The 12,821-nt window shown below is 39.4% G+C and overlaps 1 protein-coding gene across 8 annotated transcripts in view, besides 1 other annotated feature; it reads right to left on the minus strand.

The window, feature by feature from the left end:
* ANKRD30BL (ankyrin repeat domain 30B like) overlaps positions 1 to 12,821 on the minus strand; it is a 110,443-nt gene that overhangs the window by 9,253 nt on the left and 88,369 nt on the right. For 3 of the 8 annotated variants that reach the window (NR_027019.3, XR_002959312.2, XM_047444913.1), the window contains exons 1-3: positions 4,645 to 5,112; positions 466 to 580; positions 130 to 303 (exon numbers count right to left, since the gene is read on the minus strand). Coding sequence is in view for 2 of the 8 variants with exons in the window: in XM_047444913.1 (XP_047300869.1) it covers positions 130 to 303; positions 466 to 580; positions 4,645 to 4,862 (507 nt within the window). In the remaining 6 variants the exon portion in view is untranslated. Of the gene's footprint in view, positions 1 to 129; positions 304 to 465; positions 581 to 4,644; positions 5,113 to 12,821 lie in introns of those variants that run through there. The other 5 variants (NR_164000.2, NR_163999.2, NR_027020.3 and 2 more) reach the window with 3 other exon arrangements.
* Positions 5,402 to 5,902: an enhancer, noted in NCBI's record as "H3K4me1 hESC enhancer chr2:132919818-132920318 (GRCh37/hg19 assembly coordinates)". NCBI's record gives its function as "activates a minimal SCP1, AML or CMV promoter by ChIP-STARR-seq in naive H9 embryonic stem cells {active_cell/tissue: H9 hESC(naive)}" and the evidence as "EXISTENCE:reporter gene assay evidence [ECO:0000049][PMID:30033119]".

Genomic DNA, 12,821 nt, shown 5'->3' on the forward strand with positions numbered 1-12,821 from the left:
AGTTTTCTCAAACTATTTTCATAGAAAAATAGGAATGTTTGAGCTTCCAAATATAAAACAATTTACATATGTTAATGTTAAAACAAATGGATTTCAAATATTTTGAAAATAACATTGGTTAATGTCTACCTTGTTCTTCACTTCGATGTCTGCACCACAGGACAGCAATTTTGCCACCACTGACAAATTCTCACTGTTAACAGCATAATGGACAGCTGTGTTGCCATACACATCTACAATATTTGGATCAGCACCAGAATCTATGAGAATATTTGCACAAGCCTCCCTCTGGCATTGCAGAGCCTGTCAGTATTAAAGCAAAAAGTAAATTATAAATTATAGGAAATATAAATAAATATTCCACAGGTTTCACAAACCAGTTATATTTCAATGAGATAGATTCATTTTTATTCTATGTATTTAAACCAAATCCATCTCCTGCTGAAAGAACTGGCTACCATTTACCTTCATCAGAATGGTCCTGTTTTCACCATCAAGGACGTCAAGCTGACACTTTCTATCTACCAGAAGTGTTACTACTTCTGCATGGCCATTGGCACAGGCCCAGTATAGAGCAGTCCTACAAGAATGAGAGGCCTTTTAAGGAAAGTTTAGTCCACTGTCTCAAAACATAGAATGATTTATGTAATTGTCAACATTAAATACCATGCTCTTTCTCTGCCTTCAAAACAAATATTTAATATTCTCCTGAAGAAACTACAATATTCCTTCACTGTTATTACTCACTACATTAATGAAAGAGTGCCTGTTTGAACAGAAAGAGCTTGGCCTTTGGATTCAGTTCAACTTGGGCTTGAATATTACTTTAAAGTCTTTCACCTTCTACTATCACTTAACCTTTCTCTGCCTCAATTTTCTCATCAATAAAGTGAAGATGAATACAGTAGTTATCTCACAGGACATCACTGTGATGCCTCATGAGAATATGTGCAATGTATTTGGAAGAATTCCTAGCACATGTAACAGCTCAGTAATTGATAGATAATGTAATTATTTCTACTACTTAACAAAGAAAACATTTTAAGTAAAATGGTACAATTATGCCTAATTTGTGGTATGTTTTAAAGGTTAGAGATAAAGCTATTTTAATAATTCTGAAATACTCTATTTCTCGTATTTTAACATCTCTGACATTGAAATGCCGCTTATAAGTCATTATTTGTTACAAGTATATTTTGCAGAAATTTAAACAATCTTGTATTGGTACATAAATAAGGAGGCATCACACAATTCACCGTGCCTTCCATGAAGTGGAATATGGTATATACAACAGGATGATGGCAGTCTTAGTCATAGGATTAACACTTAAAGAAATTTTAGCTTTTAAGAGTGCTATACAAAAGGAGAGTTGAAATAAAAACAAACTGTTAAAACAAAGTACTTCTTTAATATTTTTAAAACTTCAAGCCAAAGAAAACTTGGGATTCAAGAAGGTATGGCTTATTTTATTCCATGTTTAGATTTACAGAATGTATGTAAATTCATATTTAAATTTATAGAATGCATGTAAATTAGGTATTTCCAATGATTAATATTACTATTTAAAGCTGTTATAAATTTCCAAAATCGTGGTTGGTAGTTATCTTTTACTAGTTTCTTACTTCAGAAGTGTTTTTGTTTTAAAGATGAGAGGAAAATCTTCAATTGAGATTCATTCCTAGTACTCCAACTTTAAATCTCTCACTTTGCTAAGGCTGAGCAGGTAAATGTGAAATTTTTAAGGATGAAAGGATCTTGAGAGTTAATGTATCTTCTACATAATAGGCATTCAGCTTACATGTGATAAATTGATTAAAAGGATAAATACAGTTGAGAAGTTCAATACCTTAAAAAAACTGCTATAAATAAAGCACTTATATTTTCTATTTTATTTTCTTAATAATAAAACTACACTAATTAATCTATAATTATTGACATATATGTAATAAATCTATATATAATAAAAATATGTGTCTAATAAGATGTATATGTAAATCAACAAGCACAGGTAAAAAGATTGTCTTTTGAAGATGCTAAAAGTTCACAGAATATACTAATCCACAAAAAGTAATAATTAAATTACGGAAAGTGAGAAATTATTTTTATTGGTGCAAAATTATATTTCTGCTCTTCCCAAAAATTTTTCATTAATAATAAACTTTTTCTAATAGCATTGTACATGCTCAATGTGGAAATCAAAGATAATAAAAAGGAAAAACATTTTATATTAAACACCCTCAAATAACAAATTTTATCATATTTCATACACAACTTCAGATAACACAAGACTGTAGTCTGTGTGTATGTATAATCAAACTGAACTTTACCCTCACTTGATACACCAGAATACATTTTCAAATGTCACCTATTTCTCTACATATTTCTACCTTCAGTGGTCACATATTATCCCATGCTGTAAATTCACTGAAATGTATTTATAAAAGTCATTATATGAATTCTTCTTAATAATATGGTACTTACCACCAAATTGTCTATTTGAAAAGTTATCTGCAACTTAAACTTTAAACAGCAGTATAAATATCACTGCTCTTTATCCTCACAAACTTTGTAGATAGAAAGCAGTATTTGATTCCTTTTTTAACTTAAATGCCTTCTGTAACCAGGAACACTAAATATTGTTTTCTGTGTGCATAGGTCACTTACAGATCTTAAGAAAATACTTTCCCAATTTTAAATTAGAAGCAAAGTACTATTTTTAGATCTGCAATTTATATCTCTAACTTAAATTGCTCAATTATAATTAGCGGGTTTTTTGTTGATTTAAGTGAATTATCTATAAAATGACGATTTAAAAATCTAATATGTATACACACACTCACATACATGTGTAGTAAATATTTTACAAGTATGCTGCCTTTTATTTTTTCTCATTACAGTTTAATTTAATTTTGTTTTGCTTAATTATCCTTCAGACTGCTTGCTTCTGAGCTTCTTAGAAAGGTGTTGTCAACATAAAAATGTACCTGTGTAAATAGGTATTTATGTTTTCTTCTGGTGCTTTTATCATTTTGTATATTAAAAAAATTTAATCTATATTCCATCAGAAATTTACTTTGTGGCATAAAAATCTAGTTTTCTCCAAAAAGCAGGCATTTCACTTATGAAACTAATTCTTTCCCTACTAGTATAACCTGTGAGCATTATCAAGTTCTAAATTCTTAGATATTTGGGTGTTTCTGGATTTTCTACTCTGTTGTATTCATTTACCTGTCTTTTCAGCTGTTATCAAATAATTTGTGATTTATTTATTTATTTTTGAGACAGAGTCTCACTGTCTCCCAGGCTAGAGTGCAGTGATGGGATCTCAGCTCACTGCAACCTCCGCCTCCCAGTTTCAAGCGATTCTCCCTCCTCAGCCTCCCGAGTAGATGGGCTTACAGGCTCCCGACATCCTGCCTGGCTAATTTTTGTATTTTTGTAGATTTGAGGTTTCACTATATTGGCCAGGCTAGTCTTGAAATCCTGACCTCAGGTGATCCACCCGCCTTGGCCGCCCGAAGTGCTGGGACTACAGGCATGAGCCACGACGCCTGGCCCTTTTTTTTTTTTTTTTTCAAATTTTATTTATTTATTTATTTATTATTATTATTTTGAGACGGAGTCTTGCTCTGTCACCCAGGCTGGAGTGCAGTGGTGCGATCTCGGCTCACTCCAAGCTCTGCCTTCCAGGTTCACACCATTCTCCTGACTCAGCCTCCCAAGTATCTGGGACTACAGGCGCCCACCACCACGCCCGGCTAATTTTTTGTATTTTTAGTAGAGACCGTGTTAGCCAGGATGGTCTCGATCTCCTGACCTCATGATCCACCCACCTCGGCCTCCCAAAGTGCTGGGATTACAGGCATGATCCACCGCGCCTGGCCATGGCCCATTTTGTGCAAATTAATAGCACATTTTGAAATCTAGAAGGGCAAGACTTTTCTACTCCGTTACAAAATGTTTTAAATGTCACCACAATAGTAAAAGACAGCGTGTGTAATTTTAAAAATGTTAAAACGTTGATAACTTTATTTGGTTTATGTAAAACTGATAAAGAACTTGCATCTTCAGAAAAATGAGTCTTCTTAAATTCGAAAACATAAACCATCTTCCCACCTCAAAGTTACCTTCTAAGGTCCCTCAGCAAAGAATATATTTACATAGACATTCATTGATATTGAAATGGATACTGGACTTTATCCAAAAAATTTTTAGCCAAGAAGTTAATATATTATGGGAATTATTTCATTATGCACCATTTCATAATGTATCTAACATCTTTTAAAACCTGTACATTAAAAGTAAAACCCTGTATGTACTTAATTTTATAAGTTAAATCACTTTAAAATTCTCTACACAGTGCTCTGTGAGAGGAAGTGGGAGTGAAGGAGAAAGCAGCTAAAGTTTGGGGTTGATTTTAAGGTGGCCTGTGCCCTCCGCCCTGCAGGGCGCCCTCATCCAAGGCCTGGGGGACCTGCCCGGGAAGAAGGCCAAGACCTCGGGGCCCAGGACGGCCGCCCCGCTGCCCGCCACTCCTCCACCTGCTCCCCTCGTCCCCAGGACCCCCAGGCCCCACTCTGAAGGGGCGATCCTCCCACAGCCTCCTCCTCCTCCTGCAGCCCCGGCTCAGGCAGGGCCTGGTACCTCTTCTTCGCATCTCTTATGTTCAGGTCCATTGTCGTCTTCTTCATCATCCTCTCCAGCTTCCAGGCTTGGCCCCGGGAGGCAGCTTTGTGGATCTTCCTGAGATCCCCATGGTGAATCACGTAAGAGTCGTTGTTGGTGTAGACCAGCTGACTGAAGGGGCTCGGGCGCTCTGGGCCCGTCTGGCCCTTGACAGGGGCGGCAGAGAGCCTCTCCATGGCTGCAGCCACCTGCTAGAGAGAGCCCGTGCCTCCCGCTGCTCGCCCTTCCCCAGTCCCCGCCGCTCGCCCTCGCCCTTCTTCAGTCCCTGCATCCGCCCTGACAAGACTAGAAATCTCAGTCGGGCCAAGCTTTTGGACACTCCAACCTCTCCCGGGAGAAAATGGCTGCGCAAAACCGTTAGGCAGCTGAGCAGAACCGTTAGGCACCTGAGCAGAACCTTTAGGCAGCTGAGCAGAACCGTTAGGCAACAGCGCATGCGCAACTCAGCAGACCTGGGAGACACGCGAGGCAGGAAACCGCCCTGGCTGCGCTTCGCCCAGCACGGCGTGCAGGTGGCACCTGCTACTGAGGCGCTATCGGGCTGGCGGGGCTCCCTGGAGCGGAACGTGGGGGGCTCCCTGCCACATGGCCTGCTTGACAGAGCTGCCCCTGTCCCCTCCTCAACCTGAGATCCAGGAGCTGGGCCCTGGCGCTGGGCATCGTGCAGCCTCCAGGGTGGCGCTGAGCGTCGGTTCCCGGCCTCTTGCAGCCAGGGACCCATCCCTGACTTAGGCGCCTGGAGGCTTCTGGCCCAAGTATCCGCGCGGCTGGTGGCGCTGGCAGGGTCAGGGTTGCAGCCTCTCCTGCCACGTGCCATGTTCAGGTGGCAGCTGCAGCTGAGCCCATGGTAGAGGCTACAGGGTTGGGCCCAGACCGCTGAGCATCGCCGAGTACATCGCCCTTCCACCCGGGGCTCTGCTCTTCCTCGGCTCGCGCTGGCAGCGCAGGCTTGCCACCACTGGGCCCTGTACAGCTGCGGCGATGAGGCTTTGCGGCAGGTTCCCACGATCCTGCAACTGAGGTCCCACTGCCTGACTTAGGCGCAGTGGCGGTGTCCGACCCTGGGGTTCGCCTGCTGGTGGCGCGGACAGGTTCGGGGGTTGCCACCGCTGCTGCCACCTTCAAATGCCAGCTGCAGCTGAGCCCACGGTAGAGGCTGCAGGGCTGGGCCCGACGGCCTGAGGGTAGCCGTGTGGCACACGCCCTCCCACTCTAGGCCCTGCTCTTCCTTGGCTCGCGCCCTGAGCGCTGGTTTGCAGGCTCTGGGCACTGTGCAGTCGCCAGGATGCGGCTGAGCAGCAGGTTCAGCGCCGCCTGGGCCCAGAGGGGAAGAGGGGAGTTTGGGGTTGCTTGGCCGTATTTGCCTGTGCGCCAAGTGCAGGTAGCGGCTACAGTTCTGACAGGCACGGATGGCGGGTCCCGTTTAGAGGGCTTCAAGGTTCCTGAGAGCGCCCGCTGCCAGGCCTCAGGATCCCTTCCTCGTTGACCAGCATCTGGAGTATGGCAGTGGCGCTGGGTCATCTGCAGCCCTCCTGGATGGGGCTGAGCTGCAGTTCTCACCCTTGGACTGAGAGGGAAACTCGGCTGAGTGGAGCAGATGGAGAAACAGTTAAATTGAACTTATCTATAAAGACTTCCAGGCTGGGTGCAGGACCTCATGCCTGTACTTACAGCACTTTGGGAGACCGAGATAGGAGGATCACTTGATCCCAGGAGTTTGAGACCAGCTTAGACAACACAGGGAAACTTTATCTCTATAAAAATAAAACCAATCAGCCAGGCATGGTGGTGCATGCCTGTGGCCCCAGCTACTTGGGAGATTGATTGTGGCAGGATCACTTGGGCCTGGGAGTTCGTGGGTACAGTAAACTGATTGTGCCACAAACAAGGAATGAGAGGTCCTGTTGCTCCCCATCCTTGACAGCATTTGACCTTTTCAGTCTTCTGGATTTTGGTTATTGTTTGATTGTTTGTGCCGCTGCACTCCAAGCCTGGGCAACAGAGACTCTCTCTCAAAATAAATAAATGAAAGACTTCTAGTCACTATATCTTATCTATGTCGAATTGTTTACACATCTAGCTTGAAGAATTAAAACCCACAGAGCCCTCTGATTATGTGATAGGGACCATGTGATTAAAGTGGGTGACCATGTTCTTGCCTCCAGGGGGCCCAAGTCAAGGGATGGGTCCCCAGCTGCAGGAGGGTGGGAATGGATGCTCAGCACCACCCCGGAGGCTACACAATGCCCAGCCCCAGGGCCCAACTCCTGGATCCTGGATCATGAACAAAAACCCAAGAATTGAAGACTTGAGTGTTAGATATGCTCATTTCTGCTGGGATATCATTGCTTCTAGACCGTCTTAGTTTACAGAGCAAAGAAATAAATGTGTGTATACAAAGCTGTGTATACACATAACTATAAATATTTCTAAATGTAATGTGTGTAAGTGTTAGTTCATACTGATGTCTACGACTCAATTCTTTTATCACATGATCATTCCGGCCTTCTCCCCTTGCTTACATGTAACCTCCCACTTTAATAATGAGAAACCAGGCTCCTGTCATTTGTCATCCGTTTGCTTAACTGTCTAGTTCCAATATACATTCATTCTCTATCAATATCAGAATCGCTATCCCATTTCCTGTAGGAGACAGCTATACCAACCAGATCACATGAGTTGTTTGCAGTTTCTCTTCCTTTCAGTCTTCATGCATTTTCTTTGTTTCTTTTTCTTTTTCTTTTTTTTTTTTTTTTTTTTTTTTAAGATGGAGTTCTGCTCTTCTTGCCTTCTTGCCCAGGCTGAGGCTGGAGTGCAGTGGCGTGATCTCGGCTCACTGCAACCTCTACTTCCCAGGTTCAAGCGATTCTCCTGCCTCAGCCTCCTGAGTAGCTGGGATTACAGGCACCCGCCATCATGCCCAGCTAATTTTTGTCTTTTTAGTAGAGATAGGGTTTCACCATTTTGGCCAGGCTGGTCTCAAACTCCCAGCCTCAGGTGATCCGCCCACCTTGGCCTCCCAAAGTGCTGGGATTACAGATGTGAGCCACCACAGAAGGCCCATCCATTTTCTAAGATGCTTATGTCAGCACGTTTTTCCCACTCCCTAGAGTGAAGTGGCTTTATACATTTGTAGTACTTTAGATTTTCTATCACATTCTGCATTCCATCTCAGGATCCCCAGAACACCTACTTTGTTGTTGTTGTTGTTTTAAAATTTGCATATATTAAGTGACATTCTTTGTTTTTTAACAAATGCAGGCCAGGTGCAGTGGCTCACGCCTGTAATCCCAGCACTTTGGGAGGCCAAGGCGGGCAGATCACGAGGTCAGAAGATGGGGACCATCCTGGCTACACGGTGAAACCCCGTCTCTACTACAAATACAAAAACAAAATTAGCCAGGCGTGGTGGCAGGCACCTGTAGTCCCAGCTACTTGGGAGGCTGAGGCGTGAGAATGGCGTGAATCCGGGTTGCGGAGCTTGCAGTGAGCCGAGATCGTGCCACTGCACTCCAGCCTGGGCGACAGAGCAGACTCCGTCTCAAAACAAAAAACAAACAAAAAAAAACGCAAATGCATACTATCGTGATTCCACAGTTGTGGTATCATACAGAATACTTTGGTCCAAATAATGCCCACGTGCTTCACCTATTAAACCTCCTCACTGAATCTTTTGCCAAATCATTTATTTTTTTAGGAAGTAATATTCCCTTATATGACGTATCAGTTTTTTTTTTTTTTCCATTCATCAATTATGAGACCTCTTGGTTTCTTCCAGTTTTGGGAATTATAAACAAAGCTGCTATATATATATTCATGTGTCAGTTTTGGTGTGGACATAGTTTTCAAATAAGGTGGATAAACACCTAAAAACACATTTGCAGCCAGGCGCGGTGGCTCACACCTGTAATCCTAGCACTTTGGGAGGCCGAGGCGGTCGCATTGCCTGAGCTCAGGAGTTGGACAACAGCCTGGGCCACATGGTAAAATTTCCCAAATCAACAGGTTATATTGTCTCTAGTAAAATACAAAAAAAAAAAAAAATTAGCCGGACATGGTGGTAGGAGCCTGTAGTCCCAGCTACTCTGGAGGCGAGGCAGGAGAATTGTTTGAACCCAGGAGGTGGAGGTTGCAGTATCCTTCTATTGCACCACTGCACTCCAGCCTGGGTGACAGAGCAAGACTCTATCTCAAAACAAACAAAAAAAACCACAATTGCTATATTATATGTAAGACTTTTTTTTTTTTTTTACATATAGTATAGCAACTATGGGCATAAGAAATTGCCCATCTGTCTTCCAAAGTGGTGGTTTCATTTTGCAAGTGGTGAAAGAAAAAAAAACAAAAAACAAAATTCTTCTTGCTCCTGGTTTTTGGGAAAAAGCATCCCATTTCTCATCATTAAGTATGATAGTTTTAGGGGTTTTGTAGATGTTCTTTGTCAAGTTATGAAAATTCACCTCAATTCCTAGTTTTCTGAGAGTTTCTCAAATTATAGATGGGTGATAGATTTTGCCATAAGCTTTTTCTTCATCAGTTGATACAGTCACATGATTTTTCTTCCTTAACCTGTTGATTTAGGAAATTCTGCAGATAATTTTCTAATATTGAATCAGTCTTGCATACTTTCTTACCTAAAATAAATACATAGTTAGATTCAATTGTCTAGTATTTTGTGAAGGATTATTGAATCTTTGTTCATGAGAGATATTGATATATTGATTTTATTTCATGTTATGTCTATTGGATTTGGTAAGAGGGTAATATTTACCTCACAGAATGAATTAGGATGTGTTCTCTCTAATTCCATTTTCTTGAAAAGTCTGTGGAAAATTGGTATAATTTCTCCATTAAATGCTTGATAGAATTCACCACTAAAGCCATTTGGGCCTGGAAACATTGGGGGGGTGAGGGGGGGTTATTAACTATTTATTCAATTCCTTTTATAGATATAAGCGTACTCATGTTATCTATTTTTTCTTTTGTGAGTATTGGCATATTGTGTCTTTCAAGGTATTTGTCCATTTTATATAGGTTATTGAACTTGTGAGTATAGAGTTTTTAATATAGTAAATATATTATCCTTTTAATGTCCACAAAATCAGTAGTCATAACCCATACCCCTGTTTCACTTCCAATATTTGTAAGTTGTTCATTCTCTCTTTTTTTCTTTATTAGTTTGTCTAAATGTTAGCAAGTTTATGGATCTTTTCAAAGAAACAGCTTTCTGTTTCATTGATTTTCTCTATTGTTTTCCTGTTTTCTATTTTACTGATATCTGCTAAACTTTATATATTTTTCCCTTGTTATTTACTTTGGATTTTCTTTTTCTAGTTTCTTAAGGCAGAAGCTTAGGTTATTGATTTTATCTCTTTTTTCATAATAATATGCATTTAATACTATAAATTTAGGTACTAGTTCTACTGTATCTCATATATTTTAATAAGTTGTGATTTCATTTTCATTTAATTCCAAATATTTTAATTACTGTTTAGTCTTCTTTTGGGATGCATTTAGATGTTTTGTTAAGTCTTCAAATATTTGAAAAATTTTTCAATTCTTCCTGCTATTTATTTCTACTTTAATTTTTATTGTGGTCTGAGTGTGTACTTTGTATGAACTTTATTCTTTGAAAAATTTTAAGACGTTTATGGCCCATAATGCAGTGTGTCTTGTACAAGCTAGAGAAGAATGTGTATTCTACTTTTGTTGAAGTAGAATATAAACATTAATTACATTCATTTATTTTTATTTTATTTTATTTTATTTTATTTTATTTTATTTTATTTTATTTTATTTTATTTTATTTTATTTTGAGATAGAGCCTCACTCTGTCACACAGGCTGGAGTGCAGTGGTAGTCTTGGCACAATGCAACCTCCACATCTCAGGTTAAAGTGATCCTCCCACCTCAGCCCAGAGTAGCTGGGATTACAGATGTGTGCCACAACACCCAGCTAACTTTTGTATTTTTAATAGAGACGGTGTTTCATCATGTTGGTCGGGCTAGCCTCAGGTGGTCCACCCACCTTGGCATCCCAAAGTGCTGGAATTACTGGCAGGAGCCACTGTGCCTGGCCTGCCTCCTCTTATTTTAATTGATCATCTTCTATGATTATATTTTTGTCTCAGCTCTTGGTGTATCTCATCACCTCATGAGATGTGATCTCATCACTTCTTTTAAAAATTTGCGGTGGTTTTCTTAGGATTGATTATATGCATTTTAAGTCTATCTTTAAATTAATTAGAATCGATTATATATATTTTATGTCTATCTTCAAATAAAATTGTTACTTCACACGTAGTGTAGGTATCTCATAAAAATACTACCAGATTGTACCTCCTGTACCTTATGACATTGCTATTGTTCATTTCATCTGTCCACATTCTATAATTACCCATTTTTTGTAACTAAACAGTTATCTTATGGGTCAATAAGAATAAAAAAACTTTTTAACTTTAATTTATTCTTTTTCATTTATTGCTTCTTTATTGTGTATCTGAATTTCTCACTTGCATCATTTTCTCTCCACTTGAAGAACTTCCTTTAGTATTTCTTGCAAGACAGGTCAGCTGACGATGTATCACTTAAATTTTGTTTTTCTGAGAAAGTTTTCTATTTGCTTTCTTTGTTAAAGGAAATTTCAATATATAGAATTGCTTTATCCCCCTAAAATCATATGTTGTTGAATATATTTTCAAATACTTATTTGCCATTTTTATATTTCTTTTGGTGACTTATCCATTTATATTGCTTCCCCATTTTTAACTGAATTGTTTGCTTTCTTGTGAAATTTGAAGGGTTTCTTGTGTATTTTGAATAATGGCCTTTATTACAGATTACTGGATAAAGAAAATGTGGCATATACATACAATGGAATATTATTCATCCTTACAAAAGAAAGAAATCCTAAAATTTGTGATAGCATTGATGGACTGAGAGAACATAATGCTAAGTAAAATAAGCCAGACACAGAAAGACAAATATACTGCATAATCTTATTTATCTGTGAAATCTAAAAAATTTAAACTCATTAGATATTAGGGATTAGAAGGTAGGAAAAATGGGGAGATGCTTTTAGTTAAAAGATGAATAAATTCTGGATACCTAACATATATAGCATAGTAGCTACAGCTGATAAGAATGTATTGTATACTTGAATTTTGCTAACAGGGTAGGTCTTACGTATTTCCATACAAGCACACATAGACACACACAGAGAAAGTGTAACTTTGTAAGTTGATGAAAATGTTAATTGACTGTGGCTATTACTTCACAATGTATACATACATTACATCATATTATATAACTTAAATATGTACAATTTTTATTTATCAATCATACTTCAATGAAGCTAGAAAGAAAAATAAGAAAAAAAAACATTTGTACAGCATAATTAATTATGAAAGGGATACATTTTCTAACAATTATGATATCTTTTTCTATGCTTATTTTAGAATATTGTATTGTCATTGGGATTATTGCCACCATTTTCTTCTCTGCACCTGTATTCCTATCTTTATCACAGTGACCAAATCTCCTTTGATAACACTTAATTTTTGCCCAACTGAAATTATATCTTAAATTCCAAAAAGTAAATATTTTCTGATTTTTAGGGAAAAATAAGAATTTTTTAGATTTCCTAGGTGACCTCTAGAAAAACTGTGACAAATTTTGCCTTATAAAATGGATGAGGCTAAAATAAATTGGGTTTCTTTGGTGTGCCCCATATTTCTTCATTAGTTCCACACATTTGTGTGAGTTGCATGAGGTCAATTCTAAAAGACTCAGCCTTCTCAGTTCATTTTACATAATCTTACATATTAAGATGAATGGTGGCGGGGTGCGGTGGCCCACGCCTGTAATCCCAGCACTTTGGGAGGCTGAGGTGGGCACATCAGGAGGTCAAGAGATCGAGACCATCATGGCCACCATGGTGAAACCCCATCTCTACTAAAAATACAAAAACTAGCTGGGCGTCGTGGTGCATGCCTGTAGTCTCATCTATTCAGGAGGCTGAGGCAGGAGAATCACTTGAACCCAGGAGGCAGATGTTGCAGTGAGCCAAGATCGCACCACTGCACTCCAGCCTGGTGACACAGGGATACTCTGTCTAAAAAAAAAAAAAAAAAAAA

The sequence above is a fragment of the Homo sapiens genome, chromosome 2 (genome assembly GCF_000001405.40).
Source record: "Homo sapiens chromosome 2, GRCh38.p14 Primary Assembly".
Classification (NCBI taxonomy): domain Eukaryota; kingdom Metazoa; phylum Chordata; class Mammalia; order Primates; family Hominidae; genus Homo; species Homo sapiens.